This window comes from Homo sapiens, chromosome 18, assembly GCF_000001405.40.
Source record: "Homo sapiens chromosome 18, GRCh38.p14 Primary Assembly".
NCBI classification, from domain to species: Eukaryota; Metazoa; Chordata; class Mammalia; order Primates; family Hominidae; genus Homo; species Homo sapiens.
In genome coordinates this window covers 36,665,125-36,686,743 of record NC_000018.10, presented here as the reverse complement: position 1 = coordinate 36,686,743, position 21,619 = coordinate 36,665,125, and the positions used below count along the sequence as shown (strand labels likewise).

The 21,619-nt window shown below is 37.7% G+C and overlaps 1 protein-coding gene across 45 annotated transcripts in view, besides 1 other annotated feature; it reads right to left on the bottom strand.

Moving 5' to 3' along the window:
- FHOD3 (formin homology 2 domain containing 3) overlaps positions 1-21,619 on the bottom strand; it is a 482,508-nt gene that overhangs the window by 93,477 nt on the left and 367,412 nt on the right. For 30 of the 45 annotated variants that reach the window (NM_001281740.3, XM_047437838.1, XM_047437840.1 and 27 more), the window contains one exon: positions 5,174-5,308. In NM_001281740.3, coding sequence (NP_001268669.1) covers positions 5,174-5,308 — 135 coding nt within the window. Of the gene's footprint in view, positions 1-5,173; positions 5,309-5,411; positions 5,472-21,619 lie in introns of all 45 variants that reach the window. The other 15 variants (XM_011526189.2, XM_011526190.3, XM_017026008.2 and 12 more) reach the window with 1 other exon arrangement.
- Positions 12,226-12,452: a silencer, noted in NCBI's record as "fragment chr18:34254255-34254481 (GRCh37/hg19 assembly coordinates)". NCBI's record gives its function as "represses an EF-1alpha promoter that drives an FKBP-Casp9 reporter gene in an ReSE screen in K562 erythroleukemia cells {active_cell/tissue: K562}" and the evidence as "EXISTENCE:reporter gene assay evidence [ECO:0000049][PMID:32094911]".

Sequence of the window (21,619 nt, the reverse complement as noted above, 5' to 3'; positions counted from 1 at the left end):
CATAACAGCCATCTTAAGAATTAAATCTAAGTTCCTTGGCCATTCTATGTTGCACTCCACAAGCTGAATATTCCTTCCACAACCCAGGATTTTTTTTTTTTTTTTATTTCCAGGATACATGAGGGGTGTGCAGGTCTGTTACATAGGTAAATGTGTGCCAGGGTGGTTTGCTGCACCTATCAACCCGTCACCTAAGTATTAAGCCCAACATGCCTTAGCTATTTATCCTGATGCTCTCCCTCCCCAATCCCCCCACTGACAGGCCCCAGTGTGTGTTGTTCTCACACAGAACAGTGAGAACACATGGACACAGGTCCCCTCCCTATGTCCATGTGTTCTCACTGTTCAGCTCCCACTTATGAGTAAGAACATGTGGTGTTTGGTTTTCTGTTCCTGCATTAGTTTGCTGAGAATGATGGCTTCCAGTGCCATCCATGTCCTTGCGAAGGATGTGATCTCATTCCTTTTTATGGCTACATAGTATTCCATGGTGTATATGTACCATATTTTCTTTATCCAGTCTATCAATTGATGGGCATTTGGGTTGATTCCATGTCTTTACTATTGTGAATAGTGCTGTAATGAACATACGTATGCATATGTCTTTAAGATAGAATGATTTATATTCCTTTGGGTATATACCCAGTAATCGGATTGCTGGGTCAAATGGCATTTCTGGTTCTAGGTCTCTGAGGAATCGCCACACTGTCATCCACAGTGACAACCCAGGATTCCTTCTCCACATCCATTACATTCTCAGTTTCTATTCTAGGATCACTGAAGCTCCTGCTTTGTTCCTTCTCTTTTGTCTGTACCCACAGATGCCCAAATTTTATGTTTTGTTTTTCTGTTCCTGCTGTTTTCTTAATTTTAATGTTTTGTTTTTCTGTTCCTGCTGGTTAGGTTCCAAATTGAATCTAAGTTTAAGACTATGTGGTTAGTCATCTCTCACTGGACTGTTTACTTTCTTGGAGAATCCTAACATCATGGTTTTCAACACTGGACCTCATAATATAGTTTAAATATTCTATTTCTTGGTGTACTGATAACTGGATATAAAGGGGCAGTAAGTTAGACTACAGCAGTGTAGGACCGGGAGAAAAATGCAACAAGGACTCAGATTTGTCATCGTTTATAAACATCCAACCTCATCACTTTCCACACTAGAACTAAATTTCCTATAACTCAGAAAGCTTAAGACCATATTCAACAAAAATGACAATAGATAAAGAACAACTTTTAGATGCTTTGCAAAAAGCACGAGGAGCATAAACAATTTAAATCAATGAAATGGCTGATAAAAGGTCAGTCATTTGGGTAACCTCAGGAACTACTTTAGAAAGCTTTTCCTATTTATTTTTTGAATTTCTTTTCATTCACATCCTCAGAAATATGGAACTGCAGTCACCATAATTAGTAGTTGCCTACGGTTGATTAGCATTCATTTTGGATGAGTGGAGGAGGGCCATTTTGCCAAGGTCTCTCTGTGTTCTTAAATGACAAGTTAGAATCACTTGAAATCAAGAGCAAATGGTTAACAGTTATTAGCATGGCCTCTGATGACAACCTTTCCAGGCCTAATTCTTACTCTGCCAACATATACATATGAATAACATAATTCCTGTATATTATAACACATGGGCAGGTGCAATGGCTCATGCCTATAAGTCTAGCACTTTAAGAGGTTGAGGCAGAAGGATCACTTGAGCCCAGGAGTTCAAAACCAGCCTGGGCAACACAGTGAAACCTCATCTCTACAAAAAAATACAAAAATTAGCCAGTAGTCCCATGTACATGCCTGTAGTCCCAGCTATTTGGGAGGCTGAGGTAGGAGGATCACCTGAGCCTGGGAGGTCGAGGCTGCAGTGAGCCAAGATGGTGACACTGCACTCCAGCCTCGGCAAAAGAGTGACACCCTGTCTCAAGAAACAAACAAACAAAAAAAACCAATGCACTCTTGTCCTATTCTCCTATACTTCTGGGACTCCGATGACACGAATGCTAGACATTTTGATGTTATTACGCAGGTCCCTACAGCTTTGTTCATTTTTCTTTCAATTTTTGTTTGTTGTGTTTAGTTTTCAGGTAGGAAAATTTCTGTTGTTCTATCTTCAGGTTCACTCATAGCAATGAGTTCACTTTCTTCTCTCATAGCAATTCTATTTGGCCCATCTGACAAATTTTCTATTTTAATTTTCCTGTTCTATATATATTTCCATTTGGATCTTTATATCTTTTATTTTTTTTTTACAGAGACATCTTTTCATTTGTTTCAAGAGTATTTGCCCTTACTTCCTAAAGCATGTTTATAATAGCTACTTTAAAGTCTTTAAATGTATAATATCTATGTCCTTTGTGGTTAGCCATCTTTTAATTCTCTTTTCCCTTTGAGTTAAAATTTTCCTAATTATTTTTATGATAAGTTATTTTGGATTGTATTCTGTACATTTTACATATTTTGTAATGAGATTTGAGGTCTTATTTAAATTCTACAAAGAATCTTGATTTTTGTTTTATTTTGTATTAGCAGGTAATCAACCGGGTTAAGTTCAACCTGCAAGTTGTAACCTGCCTTCAGACATTGGTTCCAATATTAATTCAGTTTTCTGGGATCTGGGTGGTGATCCACTCCCACTCTGTACTTAGTTCTCAAAGCCTATGGCATGCCATGTAGGTTTGAAGCCACATGTGTACAAATCAGACATGCATTCAGGAGTGCTCTCTTGATATCCTGGCTCTTTGTGGCTTTCCTAACACTTTCTGGCTCCTTGGGTTTCCTTTTATGGTCCTCCAGCCAGAAGGCTTGGGCTTTACTTTCCCTGTCCTGCTGCATACTTTTGGTAACTGCATCTGCATCTAGGACAATATAGCAGGAGGAGAGCAAAGTGATATGCCTAGTGATCATGGGGTCATAGCTCTTATGGTCAGAGGAAGAGTTCCCCTCTCTCCCATTTCAGGCAACTGCCTGGACACTGCTGCCATTGCTGTGCTTCTGTAGCAATATTGTTTGGGAGGCTAGGGTAGGAGATAAAGAAATAACAGGAATTCTCTACACTTTTATCTTTAGAAATTCCCTTTACTGTGCCTTGGTCTGGAAAAAGAGGACTTCTTCTGGGGTTCTTTTGGTCCAGATTTGACATACACTTCTAGGTTTGGGTGCCTTTGAGTACATGCCAAGTAATAGTGAAGGTAAAAAATGGTAAACTCTCACTGGTTTTGTAAAACTGAATTTTAGTCTCCCTTCCTAATTTCACCTGCTCTCTTTTATATTTCAGAGTTTTCAGAGTTTCACACATTCTCTCCATGACTTATGGTTGCATTCAGCAATGAAGGAGAGACAGGATGGAGTGAATGAATTCCATTTTCCCCAGAACCAGCACCCTGTTTCAAGAGGTTTTCAATAAAACACTTTGGATGTAAGCTAATCTCTGAATTTTCCATGTATTTCACTCAGATTCTCTGCTGCTATTTGGTGGTAAAATATGCCAATCTCCCAGAAAACCATAAATCAGGAAGCATTTAACCTGTTCCAGAGATTTAAAAAATTGGCCTTTCTAAAAGTGACAACTTCCAGAACTACCCTCATGAAAAATGGTGCATACAGAGCTGGCATTTCCAAATATCGTTTGGTAGAAATGTGACAGCTGAGGGTATGCTACACTATCTTGATGGGAAATGATGTTGGTTTACTTCATGCAGCCCATTCACCCAGTCTTAGAAAAATGAGGATTAGCATTTCAAAGACTTGGCATTTGTTTTCAAGAAGTAGTGACTTATAGTTAAGCAACTTCACAACTGTGCTCATATTTTGATCATTTTTACAATTACACATATACTTCTTGGCTTCAGAAAAGCACAAGTTATTGGCTGGGCATGGTGGCTTATGCCTGTAATCCCAGCACTTTGGGAGGCTGAGGCAGGTGGATCACTTGAGGTCAGGAGTTCAACAGCCTGGCCAACACAGTAAAACCCCATGTCTACTAAAATTACAAAAATTAGCCAGGCGTGGTGGTGTGGCCTGTAATTCCAGCTACTTGGGAGGCTGAAGCTGAAGAATCACTTGAACCCAGGAGGCAGAGGTTGCTGGGAGCCAAGATTGCGCCACTGTACTCCAGCCTGGGCAACAAAGTGAGACTCTGTCTCAAAAAACAAAACAAAACAAAACAAAAACACGTTATTAAATCTGTAAATCCTCATTAACAATGCCTTACATTCCTTGTAGATATAATGGGGAATAATTGATGGGAATATTGTTTGCCAAAGAAACTGAACTAAGGAAACAGGAGGTAGAGATGGGGAGAAAAATGAAAAGAAAGAATGTAGAAGCTATAGGGTAAATGACTTCAAAGGATTAAGGAGGAAGAGAAAGTATAGGAGGAGGTGGGGAAGAAAGGGGGAAAAGGGAAAAAGGATATAAGGAAGAGGAGAAGGAAGTAATGTGTAAGGAGAGATACAGCAACTGTTTTTCATTCCATAAAGCACAGCACAGCATGAAGCCCAGGGGATGGGTGTGAAGGAGGATGACCTGGAGAATGTGGAGAACAGGTGGACTGGCTGAAGGAGAAGCCGAGGCACACTGGGATCAGTGGGGACAGACAGGCCAAGATATGGAACCTGGAATGAGCTATAGCCAGGAACACATCCTTGAAGCTGTACAGAGACCAGGAGATCGGGGGAAATGGGCTGAGAGTAATCAACACAATGACTTTTCCCCCCACATAGCAAGAGATTATTGTTTACAAAAAATATTGAAGATTGTTACAGGGATCAAAAAGCAAACCAGAAAGTGGGAAAAGCATTTCTTTTTGGGCATCTGATAGAATATGAATAAAACATGAGGACCATTAGGAAGAGATGGCAAATTAAGTTAAGATAATTACACTCTCTGTCATCCGGAGGGCCTGGATAGGACGAGGTAGGTAATGGAGGGCCCAAGAATACATGAGTCCCTAATTGTATTTGGCTGACTGTGCTTCCTGCCATATGGTTAGAGAAACAAAAGCCATAACAAACCAGATCCAGCCTATTTCAGGTATGTCTTTCTCTTCCTTAAAAATACAGACAGAATTTTCATTACTTCCTTTAATGCCAATATTAAATGTATACAGTTGTAAAGTCACATGCCTTTAATTTTTAACTCACTATTTAAAAAAAATCTTAAGATCCTTCTTACCTGAATTTGTTTCTTTCTTCCCGCTCTATTCTCTGCAACCTTTCTTCTCTCTCCTGCCGCCGCCTCTCTCTCTCTGCTGCCAGTGACTCTTGGTGCTGCCTGAAGGATGATGTGAGAAGACCACTCGGTGATGACCTGGAGATACAATGAGTTAATGTTTCAGTTGCTTGGCCTGTGATTAAAAGTACTGAAGTAAGCACCAGTCAGACCTTGGTTAGAATTGAGGGTCTGCCGGTACCTAGGCAATGCTTGGGGAAAATCACTGAATGCCTCGGGTCTTCTTGTTTCAGATTTTTGTCTGTAAATTGGGGAAAAGTATCATACTGTGAGTGTGCTCGCAGGAGAAAAGGTGGTAACAGACAGAAAATAGCAAGCAACATGCTTGACATGTAAGCAGCCCTCAAGAATGGGAGTTATAGAAGTATTCCAGGAATGTATATACATTCTATATATATTTTACAGTTGGTCTATGTTAAGACGTAGATGAGCTAGAATCAGCTTTCAATCTAAAACTATTTTCTACCTATCTATCAGGTAATACATTCATTATTTGGGTAACAGGATCATTAGAAGCTTAAACCTCAGCATCATGAAAGATACCGATTAACAAACCAGCACATGTACCACCAAATCTAAAATTTTAAAAAAAGTGATTTTATAAAACTATTTTCTATTATACATGCACTAAAAATATTTTACTATATATCAGTCTCACAATACACTTCTTTAGAATAATTGAACAAGGCAATGAGATGACAGATGAGGACAAAAAAACTTGCAATGGGCTGAAATGTGAATAGAATTAAGGAAATTTCATTCTATGACATTCTATGTCAAGAAGCATCCAAGGACTCAGCATGGTCAAAGGACAGGCAGTGGTATTAGTAACATCACACAAGAGTCTGGACTGTTCACTGAAAATGTGTGTGAAAGCCTTGGAGAGAAACCACAGGGTGAGTATCACAGGAGATGTTAAATCAGAGAATGAGTGGGAGAAGAGAAAATCAAGTAACCGTATGACATATAAGGAAAGGGGTTAGCTATGTAAAGGAGTCTGATGGATCTCTGGAGAATAAAATCTGTTATGGACAATTGAGGCCTTCACTTATGGAAAAAAATCTCCAAAACAAAGAGAAAAATATTTATGAAATATATTTTGCCAATTTATTTATCCAAGGATATAGCTTGGGTAAAATCCTACCTGGATTCAGTGAAAAATATACCTGCAAGGTGGGGAACACAGATCTCAGTGCAGGAGAAAGATGTGACTTTCATATTACAGACTGCCATGAGTCCCACAGATGTTCTCCCTAGAAAAGGTGAGTCACCTATGGCTATCACTCATAGGTGGCAGGGAAAATGGAGGGAAGAAACCACCATCCCTGGCAGCTACAGGGAGGGAGTAACCAAATTCAATATTCCAGGCTCACTATGGAACTATTTCCATCAGCTCTGGACACTAAGGCATAGATAGAGTTTATTTATCTTCCTCATAAAATAAGTTCAGACAAACTTCTAACTTTTGTAAGCTATTATTATTTTGTGGGAATTCTTCCCTGCTGTATCCAGCCAAACCTAATCAACAATCAGAGTAAAGAGGTTTGTAATACCTCTTGCACAGTAATTGATAAAACTGTTATGCATATAATAGATTTGTTTAACCCAATTAATAAGTTTTATCTAATAGATTAACATGTATATAACCTGGTGCCCAAATGGGAGAAAACATATTCTTTCAAATATATAAGGACTACTCAAAAATTGACCATCAATTGTGTCACAAAGCTCAAGAATGAATGCCACAAACTGGTTTCACACGAGCTACCTTACTGATCATAATGCAACTGCATTGAAAATCAATAACAAGGAGATAAATTTGAAAAAAATCCATATAATTGGAAAAACTAAAACATGTCTAATAACTTAGGTCAGAAAAAAAAACATGGACAATTAGAATACATTTAAAGGGTACCATAATGAAAAAGCTGAATATGAAGTTTTGTAGAATACCTCTAAAGTAGTATTTAGAAGGAAATTTATTGTCTTAAGTATTTATATTAGAAGAAAAGAAAGAGTAAAAATTAATGAGTGATCAGCTCAACAATTGGAAAGGCAACAGTGGAATAAATTCAAAGAAGGCAAAAGGAAAAAAATAAAGAGCAAAGACTAATAAAATAGGAAAACGAAGGTGTATAGACAAAAATCAACAAAACTAAAAGCTGGTTTATAATTGTGAAAAACCTAATAGACAAGTTCCATCAAAATTATTCAAGAAAAAGGGCCATAAATGAGCATATTCAGGAATGACAGGTAAATACAATTATAGATATAGTGACCAAAAAACATTACAAAAATAAGGGGAAATTTTTATAATACACTTGAAAAATTAAAGAAATGGATGATTTTCTAAAAACATATAATTGACCAAATCTGATTGAGAAAGAAATAGAAATTTTGAATAGCCCTGTTAACAAAAGAAATTGAGTTAATTAATTACAAATATATTCACACCCATGAAAAAAAATCCACGAAAGTCAGATTTTTAATGTGATTTCTACTACTCAAGGAAGAGTTCAAGTTAGACATATGGAAAGTTTCAGACAACATAAAGAAGAAAAAATCTCCCACAACCCATTTTACATGATTCATATTACTCTGACACTAAAGCCAGATAAGAACAGTGTGAAGACGGCAACTTATATACTATTTGCAATTATGAACACCAACGCAAAAATCTGAAACAAAATCACATTGGGTTTGCCCAACAAATGTAAGGGTAATGTAAGATGACAGTATAAATGAATACAATTTACCACGTTAATAGTTTATTGGAGAAAAACCATGGCTACCTCTGCAAATGCAGAAAAAGCTTTAAATTCAACAACCATTTGTTTAAAAAAAAAAACCCTTTACTATGCTTAGTAATAGAAGAAAACTTTCTTAATCTGACAGTGGGTATTTGGCAAGGAAAATTTTAAAAACTAGAGTAAGTATCTTTTTTTCTTTCTTTCTTTCTTTCTTCTTTTTTTTTTTTTTTTTTTTTTTTGAGACAGGGTCTCATTGTCACTCAGGCCAGAATGATCATGGCTCACTGAATCCTTGACCTCCCGAGCTCAAGTGATTCTCCCACCTCAGCCTCCTGAATAGCTGGGACCACAGGCATGCACCATCATGCCCATTTAATTTTTGTGTTTTTTGTAGAGTTGGGGTTTTGCCATGTTGCTCAAGCTGGTCTCGAACTCTTGGGCTGAAGCAATCCTGCCTTGGCCTCCCAAAGTGCTGGGATTACAGGCATGAGCCACTATACCTGGCCAGTATCATTCTTAATGCTGAAATATTAAGAACAGTTTACTGTTAAAAATAATATAAGGATGTTTCCATCATTGCTTATATTTGACATTATTCTGGTGGTCCAAGCCAGAATACTAAGAAAAGTAAAAAGCATAAGGGAAGGAAAGAAATACAACATCACTATTTACAGATAATCTGACCATCTATAAAGATAATCCAAGAAAACCTATGTTATTTTATTAAGAGTCTAGCAAAGTTTCTATATATAAAACATAGAAATAGCAATTACATTTTTACATTAGCAACAATTTACCAAGTTAATCATAAGCTAACTATGAAATTACTTAACTAATAATATGAAAGACCTTTATAAAACCTTATTAAAAGACCCAAATGAAAGCTATATCACATTTATGTATTGAAAAAAATCAATGCAGTCAGGATGCCAATTCTTTTTTTCCAATTAATACAATTTCAAATCAATATCCCAAAAGGATTTTTCATGAAATTTTATGAGCTGAGTCCAAAATTTTTACACAGGACCTGAGGTTTTAAGGATAACCAAGACAATTTTGAGTAAGAACAAAGCAGAGCACTGGCCACATTCAATATGAAGCCCATTCTGAAACCACAATGATTGCCCGTCAAAGTGGTCTTGGTGCACAAATGAAAACATGGACGAATGGAGTGAGACAGTGAGCCATGACACAGACTCATACACAGATAGAATCCTGATTCATGTCAAATGTGTTATTACACATCTGTGGGGAAGTGATGGACTGTTTAACAAATGGTGCTGAGACAACTTTTAGCCATATAAAACAAAATACAGGCTGGGCATGGTGGCTCATGTCTGTAATCCCAGCACTTTGGGAGGCTGAGGCGGGATCACCTGCGGTCAGGAGTTTGAGACCAGCCTGACCAACGTGGAGAAGCCTGTCTCTACTAAAAATACAAAATTAGCTGGGCATGGTGGCGCATGCCTGTAATCCCAGCTACTGGCTGAGGCAGAAGGATCACTTGAACCTGGGAGGTGGAGGTTGCAGTGAGCATAGATTGCACCACTGCACTCCAGCCTGGGCAACAGAAGCAAAACTCCATCTAAAAAAAAAAAAAATACAACTAGTCCCACCTTATACCAAATATAAAAATAAATTCTAGATAGTTTAAGTGAAAAATGTAAAAGACAAAACTTTACAACATTGAGATCTCAAGATATGGAAGTTTTTTTAGACCAAAGAGCAACCAAAAAGGAAAGATTTGATAAATTTGCATATATTAAAATTTAAAATTTGTGCACATTGAAAGACTACATAAGAATAAAGAAGAGCAACAACCTGGGAGAAACTACTTGTAACATATATAAACTACAAAGGATTAGTATACATTGTACAAAAAGAACCCCTTCAAATCAGTAAGCAAAAGACAAACTACCCAGAGGAAAATGGGCAAAGGGTAATGAGCATTTTAAATGGCCAATACAGATATGAGTGATGCTCATCTTCACTAGAAATCAGGGAAAAGGAATGCAAGCAAAACCCACAGTGATATACTGTTTCACACCTATCAGATTATGGATTGACAAAAATTAATGTCTGATGACACTAACCCATTGGCACAGAATAACTCATACACTGCTTCTAGAAGTCGAAATTAATATAATCATTTTGGAAAAAAAAACACTTAATACATTTGAAGATGTATATATCCTAAAACCTAGCAATTCCACTTCTACGTTTATCTAGAAAGTAACTTTTGCATGCATAAAGAAGATAGACATGTATGGTAAATAATTCTATATGTTGCAGTGTTTTTATTGCTTGCTAGTGGTTAATTAGAATTATACAAATACCTACAAATAAACAAAATATAGTTTGTTTTTAGAAAGGAATACTCTACATCTGTGAAAATTAATAACTAGAATGATATGAACATAGGTAATTCCCCAAAGCAAAATATATAGATAGTGAAAAGTAGACTGAAGAAAAGAAACCATATTCTATCATTTCTATGAAGTTTAAATACATGTATGGCAAATCTACAAGCTAGTGATACATGTACATTTCATAAAAACAAAACCATATCTGAGAATAACAAACACCAAATTCAGTGTAGTGATCATCTCTGGGGAAGAAGGGAAATCAAAGGGATAAGGGTTTCAATGTTATATCTGATACTCTTTATTGCTCTATAACTTTCTAGATTTATCTAAAATTTTCTGTAAGTCCTGAATATATATTTTAAAGCCATTCTATTTCTCTTAAATAAATAAAAGTCCTTCTTAGGTGGATAATTAACTTGTATATCAAATATCTTTGAAACCCCAAGCTAACTGAACATCAATAGTTAGATCCAGTTCTAGAATTCAGAAACACAACCAAAAATAGGGTAGTTTATACAGGAGAATGATTTTAGGAGCCAAATAATGTCTTCTTAGCAGCTTACGTTTTGGGGTCAGATCCTATTTTCTCATTCATCTCTACCCTGGCACATAGAAGAGCCTCACTGTCTGATGAATCAACTAATGATTGAATAAACAGGATGCATGAAGTCAGAATAATATGTATATGCTAGTCTCCGTGCTCCCAGACCCCCAGCCTATTCTCTAAGGTATGATAAGGACCTACAGAGGAGTTTTTTGCACTAGACCCTTCCCACTGGCAACAGCTGAGTGAATGCAGGGTGGGTGCCTGCCCCAAAGGCACCCCATCAAAAGGCAGGCTATCCAGTGGCATAGGAGGCTCCTGGCACAGAAGGCTGAGTTAATCATAGTCATGTCTCAGGGCTGTGCACTGGGAGAGAGATTGTGCATTTGAGAGAAGCAAAAGCAAAAGGGCCTGGAGGTGGGGAGGCCCTTGGTGGCCCTGTATGAGACCAAAGTGTGAGAGGATAAAATAGAGAAGGAGCCAAAGTTGTAGGGAGAAAAAAAAAAAGATGCCAACTGTATGAAGAGAGAAAGGGGGTGGCAGCAGGAAGCAAAGGAACAGAGGAGACCACGTGGAAAGGGACTGAGACATGTGAGTGGCAGAGCATCAGAGGACACAGCTAAGAACTTGCATGGCCAGGGACACCCAGCTTACCCTGATTTCTGGTGCACGGAGGTGGCCATGGAGGGTGGGGACATGATTAGCCAGCCTTCCCTAGGTGTGCAGGAGGCCTGTCCTATGGCTGACAACCCAGTGTGCTGACAATCACGGCAGTTCTTCCCTAGCCTCCCATCGCTGGGAAGACACTGAGCTCAAAGGGCCCTAAGATTCCAGGGAAAGGAAATACAGGACAACAAAAAGTAGTATTGGCATTCAAAAATCCCCAGAAGTAACAGTACATTTCAAGTTCAATTTTTTGAGGAAAAAAATGTTACTGGAAGAGTCAAATCCAGAGCAGTGTGCATCATAGAGTATTCTCAAGTCTTCCTCTTCTTTGCATAAGAGTTTGTGACATCTTATCCCAGAACTTACTCCCAGGGGCACGTGCTTGCATGTGACAGCTTTACATGTTTGTCTTCATGTGAAGTCTCGGAGCTGCCCCAAGATGCTCCCCTCACTGTCTCAGTTAGCGTTATTTGTATTCATATTCTCCTAGCCAAGTGACAGGGGTTCCAGGAACTTCAGCTCTCACTTAGCAAGTCACTGAAACTAGAAAAAGTTTTACTGACCTCCATTTTAAGAATGCAAGAAGAACCACAAAGGGAATTTAAAGTCCAACCAGACACCTAGTTGCTGAATAAATGCATCAAAATTGACAAGCAGCTTCACCAGTGAACAGGAAGAGCCATGGGAGGCTGAAACAAGAAGACTGCTCAAGGCCAGGAGTTCAAGGCCACAGTGAGCTATGATCACGCCACTGCATTCCAGCCTGGGTGACAGAGCAAGACCCTGTCTCTCAAAAAAATAAAAATAAATTTTTAAAAGAAGGGCCTCAAGCCTGTCACAAAATTGAGGGTGGAAGAGGATCTGCATCCCCTGGTATATAAATGTGGATTCAACCCTCAGCACTGTTTTCTAGTCATGAGGCTGTCACTGCACTGAGGCTGTGACAGAAAACACAGGTGCATCGTAAGTCAGGTGAACTTGAAAGCCAAGGCTTCAGTGTCACCAAAACTCAGGGCTCATTGTTCAGATTTCAGCACAGAAGCAATAGAAAGTTCCCTAAACCCAGTATCAGAATTTTTGACTTTCCTTCCTTTTGAAAATATACTCTGAAATCACAGTGGAAATCAATGGCAGACTGAAATTTTAGATCCAAATATTAGTTTAACACATATGTGAGGTGGAGAGGTAAAGTAAATGACTTACATTGTTTTTCTCATAGGAATTCAGCATTTCCATTATCCAAACTTGAATAATAAAAGAATTTGTTTCAGAAAGAACCAAAATATATATATCAGAGGGATATACATATCCCTCATATATGTGTTAAACTAATATTTAATATATATCCCTCTGACATATGTATCTCAGAGAGGGATTTCTGTCCGTGAAGCAATGGAATGGAAAGGGAGCAGGATGCAACAGAAGAAAGGGGTCCTAAGGCAGCTGTGGCTACTCACTCCCCACCTGACCTTGGGTTAGCTTCAGGAATGCCCTGCAGTTCCCTCCTTCCCGCTGAGTGTGGAGGACAGATCGAGGAACCCCTGTCCAGATCCCAGGCTAAGTTCACCCATAGTCTCCAGCCATTTCTTTGTGCCTCTCCCTCTGCCTGCTCTCTGGGAGTGTTCACTACTGTCAGGGACCCAGAAAACCTACTAAGTGGTGATTAGGAATACTTTACTCAGGTTCCCACTTTTTTTGAGAGGGAGAGGTAAAGTAAATGGCTTACATTGTTTTTTCTCATAGGAATTCAACATTATTTCCATTATACAAACTTGAATAATAAAAGGGCTGGTTTCAGAAAGAACCAAAATTACATACTTGATCATGAGAATAACTTCTTAGATTCGGAAATAAACAGTTCATTTGTTCCATAACACAATGGGGTTTTTTAATGCATAAACAGTAACCTCTCCTTTTTCTGACTTCTTGCCTTTTTAACAGAAAAGTGATTTGCCAGAAGAACGATACAAGACAACTAGCCCAATCTCCATCTTAGGTAGTTTGGAATGTCTCTTGGCTCTTAACAGAACAAACCCACTGCCCAGGCTGAGCAAAGACAACACAGACAGATGATCAAAAGCTGAGGGGGAGATTTTCTGTCAATGACAGTCTTTCTTTTTCGATGATGAGTTGGCACTTTGTTTATCTAATTACCTGCAAATAGACTAAACATAAAACAGGAAATCTTTATAAAGATAAGGCTAAGACAAATAGGAGAGATTAAAATATACTAGATTTTTCAGTTGCACTAAGCCCAGAAGAAAAGGATTAAAAAAAGAGGAAGTACACTAGTTTCACTTTTAAAACACTTAAGAACCATTCAAAATATAATTTAAGTCTGCCAGATAGCCTGCAATTACTTTTTGAACAAAGTGAGTAACTTTAAACTCAACAGTCAGCGGGTCACTCTTCTATTTGTTTATTGCACAATAAATCTTTAGCAGACGCACAGTTTCTTATAAAAATAGACACAGAATATTGCAGCAACTCCTTTAAAGAAAAAGCAGTCTCTCTCCATCCCCTTCAATCTAGGCTGAACGTGTGATTGGCTTTGGCCAATGTAGCAATCAGAAATATGATTCGATTCAAGCAGAGGCTTGAAAAGTATCTGCACGCCGGGGCTTGCTCCCATGTTGCCCTTGGGAACCCTACACCACTGCCATTTGAACAAGTCTGGGCGAGGTGGCTGGGCCGTGAGGCATGGTGCCAAGCTGCCCCATCAAGTCAGCTGATAGCCAGACAATTGCTAGATATCAAATGAGATGATCAACGACCGGCTGACTGCAAACACAAGTTAACCCGGCTCAGACCAGAGTAATTTTTCAAGGTGAGCCTGGCCAAAATTACCAACCCATAAGATCATGAGGTAAATGCATGGTTGTTGTTTTAAACCACCATGTTTTGGTGGTTTCTTATGTAGTTAAAAGCTGACTGAAACAGGATGGGTTTTGAAAATATTTTCTCTATTTCTGTCTGAGGAAGTTGGCACTTCATTGGCGGACTCCAATAAAATCTGAAATGTTGAAGCAATTAAAGTTATCTTACAATATGACCTATTAGCAAAACTCATATACCACTGTCCCCTAAAATGTCCCCTAAGATGGCCTCCATGCCAATCAAGCCACTCACCATCTTGCTTCCCAAAGAAGTCTAGTTCCTTTGCCTAGTGGTATCTCACTTCCTCTCTACCCAAGTTCTTCAAGACACCTCCCTTGATGACCACAGTGGACACTGCTCTTTATTTCTCCAGACTCCTGGATGTGTCCTTTCGGCACATCGTCACAAATGATTGGTTCGTTCCTTCACTGTTTTGTGAATGAACATTGTTTCTGGCACGGCTTACTCCCTTGTTGCCTTTGGGAACACATCAGAAGCAGTCCCTGTCGCCTGCTTCTCCTCCTTCCCCCACAGCAACTGTGTCTGAGTGCCATCAATACACACTGACTGAATTTTGTTGTCTACTTCAGTGATATGAGCAATGCCACAAAAACACATGTTGTAGCAAGTGGACAAATTTATGGACAATGAAACCTATCACTTTCGTGTTGCTTTTTTCTTTTGTCTCTCTTTACAGAAATTAGCTTTTCTAATAAAAGTTTCCCATAAAGTAAAAGTTGGCACACTGAACTCATCCAACTTTCTACATCTAACTGGAGTCTATTTCAGTGGTGAAAAAAGGAAAGCTCTTGGACTTCCATTTTCAGTCCATTTGGAGTAACAGGAACCAGATTTACCTGTACCTGAAACAACTAAAAACCAGAAAAAATCTATGAAACAGCAGCACTGAAGAAACTGGCCATCAGATGGTGAAGGCCAGTGATTCCTGAGAGATGAAAAGCAAAGGAGGTGTTCCTCATGATTGCCCTAGCTTACTGATTGGAGAACATTTGCAGGCTGTGGTGCATAAAGGGAAAACCCAGGCAGAGCCTGGAAGTCTCCCTGAGTAGAGGAGACAAAGCTGGGAGTCTAGAGAGGCCAATGGGGATAACACTGGCAGGGTAACATACCAGAAAGGGTCTATACAGAGAGAGAGAGACCTCTGTACATCTGCAGAAGGTTTCCCTCAAGTAACTAGGTGAGGATTGTTCAGCATATGCATGTAAAAAGTAATCTGTGGCCAGTGAAAGAACTATCCAAATGAATTAGAGCAAACAGTGTCTGGAAATTATATAAGGCAGAGAGTACTGCCTGTTCCCAACAGTTACAGAGAAAAACTTCATAATTCAGAGGGAACTGGTTAAAGTTTTAACAAGTGTCTTGCCTCAGTAGTGGAAATATATTGGACTAAACATAGCTCTGGTCCTGCCTAACAAAGCTAATTATGCAAGACCTGCAAGGATCAAACTGTTTCTGAGTTAAGCCCATCCCAGAACAAAGCTCAAAAATATTTATAAGAACACAAACACATCCAGCACCCAGCAAGATAAAATTTACAAAATATGACATCCAATAAGAAATGACCAAGCATGCAAAGAAGTACAAAAATACAAGCCATAATCAGAAGAAAAAAAGTAAATTATTTGAAACCAATCCAGAAATGACACAGATGATAGAATTAGTTGGGGAGAATGATAAAACAGTTATGACTATAGTCCACATATTCAAGAAGCTAGAGAAAATATTTAACATGTTAAAATATGAAAGGTATTAAGAAAGAGACCACTTGAAACAGTAGATTGTCACCACAGAAGAAAAATAATTAGCGAACTTGAAGACACAGCAACATAATTATTCAAAATGAAACACATTCAAAATGAAGCAAAATGAAAAAAATCAACAGACCACCAGTGAACTTTGTGGAAACTTCAAATGACCCAATATACATGCTATTAGAGTTATCAAAAGAAAGGGGAGGTAAAAAGTACCAAACATTTTTAAAGAAATAAGCACTAAGATTTTTCGCAATTTGATGAAAACTGTAAACACACAGATTCAAGAATCTCAAGTCCCAAGCGTAAGAAACATGAAAAAACTACACCAAGGCATATCAAAATCAAACTGCTAAAAACCAATGACAGAGTTAACCTTAAAAGCAGCCAAAGGAAAAAAATGATATGTTACATGCAGAGGTATAAAAATAAAAACAGAAGATTTATCATCAAAAACAATGTAAAGTAGAACAAAGTGGTGCAACATCTTTAGAGTACTGAAAGAAAAAAAAACGCTATCAACTTATAATTCTTTACCTAGCAATAACTGTCTTTCAAAAATTAAGGTGAAATATTTTTTCCAGACATATAAAAACAGGAATAATTCATTATCTAGACCTGCACTAAAAGAAATGTTGGCAGAAGATAAATAATACCACATGGCCATCTTGATTTACACAAAAATAAAAAAGAATTAGAAAAGATAATGACACAGGTAAATATAAGCCTTATTTTATTATTTAAATATATTTAAAAGATAATCAATTGTTTACAGCAGACATAATAACAATGTATTGTGGAGTTTACAACATTTTAAAGGTAAAATCCATGATCACCGTAGCATAAAGGCTGGAAGAAAAAAAATGAAAGTGTGTTGTTGCAGGGTTGTTATGCTATGCATGAAATACATACTATCACTTAAAGGTAGACTATGATAAATTAAAATGTATACTATAAACCCCAATGCAATCACTAAAATAATACACTTATTGCTAATAAGGCAACAAAAGAGAGAAAATGAACTAATCAAGAATATGCAACCCCCCAAAAGGAAGAAAGAATAAAAAGGTGGAACAAATAAAAAATATAAACTCAAACAAATCAATAATCACATTAAATGGTTTAAACACTCCAATTAAAAGGTAGAGATTATCAGACTGGATTAAAAAAAAGATTCAACACTATATTGCCTACAAGAAACATAAAACCTAATTTATGTTCAAATAATAAAAAAGATATACCATATTAATACTATTTTTTTTAAAGCTGAGGCTATATTAATACCAGATAAAGTAGACCTAAGAATCAAGTATGTTACCAGGTATAAAGGTCATTTCAAATGAAAGGAGTCAAGCCATCAGTAGGATATAACAATTGTAAATATTTATGCACCTAATAAAAGAGCTTCAAGATACGAGGGAAAACTAATAGAACAGCAACATATTTTTAAAAATCAAAATTATAGAATGCAGTTTATTACTCTCTCAGTAACAGAACAAGACAGACAAGCACTAAGGATACGGAATACTAGAACAATACCATCAACCAAATAGACATCTACAGAACATTTTACCCCAAAACATCAGGATACATATTCTTTTCAAGTTTACACAGTATATTTGCCACAGTTGATCCTATTCTGGGCTGTAAAACAAATATCAATAAATTTAAAAGTATCCAAGTCATACAACATATGTTCTCTGACCGCAATTTTATTAAATTAGAAATCAGTAACAGAAAGATAGTTGGAATATCCACAAATACTTATAAGCTAAATAAATACTTTAAAATAACCCATGGGGTAAAGACTTTTTAAAAATTGACAGAGAACTTAAGAAGCATATTAAGAGAAGATAAAAACACAACATATTAAACTTTGTGGAATGCAGCAAAAGCAATACTTAGAGGAAAATTTGTAACACTGAATGCCTATATTAGAAAAGATAAAAAGTCTCAAATCAATGACCTCATCTCCTAACTGAAAAAAAGAGCAAATTTTACACAAAGTGAGCAGAAGCAAGAAAATAAAACAAACAGAAAAACAGTATAAAAATTAAATGAAACCAAAAACTGGTTCTTTGTGGTCAAAAAAAAATTGATAAATCTCTAGCCAGACTGATTGGAAAGAAGAGAGAGAAGACACAAATTACCAATATTAAGAATGAGAAATACGATCACTGCAGATTTTACAGATACTAAAAAAAATAATAAGGGACTATTCTGAACAATTACATTCCAATAACTTTGACAACTTAGATGAAATGGAAGAATTTCTTGAAAGACAAATCTACTAAAACTCACTCAAGAGGAAATGGATGATCTGATAAGAATATAAGATAAATATCTATTAGAGGCATTGAATTTGTGGTTTTAAACTTTCCCTTGAAGAAAGCTCCAGTCTTAGATGTCCTCATGGTGAATTCTATGAAATATTTAAGGAAGAGCTAGTACTAATTCTACGCAGCCTCTTCTAGAAAGCTAAAGAGGAAGGAGTATGTTTCCCCTCATTTTATGAGCATTACTCATGTACAGCCATTGTGGAAGACAGGCAATTTCTTAAAAGCTAAACATCCACCTGCCATAAAACTTGGCAATTCTACTTTTAGTAACAACCATGCACTACTTAACATTTCAGTCAACAATGTTCTACAAGATAGTGGTTCCATAGATTACAATGAAGCTGAAAATGTACTATCACCTAGTGATGTTATAGCCATCATAACATTGTAGCACAACTACTTTTCTTTTTTAATAACGTTAGTGTAGCCTCAGTACACAGTGTTTATAAAGTCTACAGTGATGTACAGTAATGTCCTAGGCATGAACAGTAATGTTCATGCTTTCAATTCTGTAAGCTCCATTCATGGTGAGTACCCCACATAGATGTACCATTTTTTTCTCTTTAATACTGTATTTTTACCATACCTTTTCTATGTTTAGATACGGAAATACTTCTCACTGTGTTACAACTGCCTACAGTATTTGGTACAGTTACACGCTGCAAGGTTTGCAGTCTAGGAGTAACAGGCTATACCATATAGCCTAGGAGGACATCTGGGACTGGAGCTTTCTTCATGGGAAAGTTTACAACTACAAATTCAATGTCTCTATCTTTGTTTATCTTATATTAATTCATACAGATTATTTCATCTTCTGTGAGTTTTGGTAGTTTTTGTCTTTCAAGAAATTCTTCCATTTCATCTAAGTTGTCAAAGTTATTGGAATATAATTGTTCAGAATAGTCCCTTATTATTTTTGTATAGCAAAATTGCCCAACACTGCTTTTCTCAGAACATAGCCCCATCATTAAGTGACGAATGACTATATTTACCCAAGAGAAATGAAAGCACATGTACATACAAAGACAACCCAAGTGTCTATCAACAGGTAAACAGATAAATTATGGTTTATGTACACAATGGAATACTACTCAATCAAAAGAAATTGAAACACACAACAACATGAAGGAATATCAAAACAATTATACTAACTGAAAGAAGTCAACTCCCCTCAAAGAGTATATACTGCCTGATTACACTTATATAAAATGCTAAAAACACACATGCAAATGAATCTACAATGAAGAAGCAGATCAGTGGTTGCTTAGGGATGGGGAAGGGCAGCAATAATCACAAAGAGGCAGCAGAAGATTTTTGGGGTGATGGATATGCACATTATCTCCATTGTGGTCAGGGTTTCACTGTTGTACACATACGCCAAAACTTATGTGCTGTTTCTTGCGTGTCAATTTTACTGCAAAAGCTGTTTTAAAAAAATATCCCTTGGTAAGTTCAAGTTAAGTAAAATCTTATTTGCGAAAGATGCAAACCTTCGATGTTTCCTATTTAAAAAGTAAATTATCATCTCTGGTAAAATATTAACAAAAGCAAAAACTAAGTTCATAAAATATCTGATACTTGAAATTAGCACTTAATTCACAAGTAGATAATTTGATATGAAGACTTAGAGGTCAAAAATAATAATAAAATGGCATTGAAATGATGCTGAGCAATGAGATCGTCCTCACAACCTGGCTATGAAATTGAGGATCACCCTGTCTAATGATACAGGACAAGAGGTAACTCTAAGTTATGCCCAGTTGTAAAAGGCATTTGCTTGCCCTGAAAAAAGAAAAATTAAGAATCTTCCTTCATAGCTTCAGGGTCATATCCTAGCTCTCATGATGAAACCAGCAAGCCCCAGAGGCATCTCCAAGAAACAGGCAGCTTTTCTCATCACCACTGCTACAATCCTGAAGACAGCCATCATCAGAGACTGGATGTGGATTTCAGTCTCCCTCTTGCTTTCTATTCTCCAGCCTGTTGCACACACTGCTTCAGTGCAGATCTGAGCTCCTTGGCCATGGGAAGGAATAGCAGGGCTCACGCAGTGTGCTGTGGAGACTGGTCCCACATGGAGTCTCACATTACTGTGCTGGCTCATATCTAGAGCATGAAGCCATTCCTCCAGGCCCTGGCTGTTGTCATGCTTCAGCCTGTCCACTGGCCCCTTTGTAGGCCCTGACTTTGGCATACAGCAGTTCTTGCCAGTTCTCTCATTCCCTCTTAATTTCCACCCTCCATCTAAGACCAAGTGAGTCCTCCGGCCCAAAGGAGGTCAGTCCTCTCCTGTCACAGCCCCAAGTCCACCTGTTTGGCTTCACAATTTGCCAATCTCCTGGAAGCTTCCCAAAGCGCTGACTGCCACCAGCATCTCCTGTGTTACGTGGCTCCCAGGCCTTGCTGGCCAGGACCAAGGCACATTCTTCCTTCCCATCTCCTCTCTGCTTCTTCACTCCAGGCCAACTCACTCTTCTTTTGCACACTTGCCTCTTCTCTAAATGCTAAATTGATTCCAAATGGTCTCCCATCTTTCCCAGATTTGCAAAACCCTGTTTTGAAGAAAGATATGGACTCGCTCCATTTTCTTATCCCCCTCTTAACCTCCCTGCCCCCCCACCAGGCCAATCTCAGAGCAAATAGCAATTTGCCTTACATTAGTGACTCAGTTTCCCAGACCTTTTGCCAGGGGTATCCCCCACAACAACAGAGCACCTGTGCTAGGCCCCCAGTTTGATTGCCTCTCTCTTTTCAGCTCTCCTATGAAGGTTCATTTTCTTCGCAGCATTCACTGCAGTGGAAACTCTTTATTTGCAGATGATTTGCTCATCTTCTGCTTCTGCCACTGAAGTGTAAGCCCTGTGAAGTCAGGGACTGTGTCTGATTCAATCGATACACTCAATAAGTACTTGTTGAATGAAATATATGAGTATGTAAGACTTGTGTATCCTACATACATAATTTCCAAAATTAACTGGAAACTCAGTATCCTTCCATTATAACAATAAAACTTATTTAGTCCTCATTACTGGGCTTTGAGGGAAGGAATGGGGAAAGAGATAGGAAAACAAACAT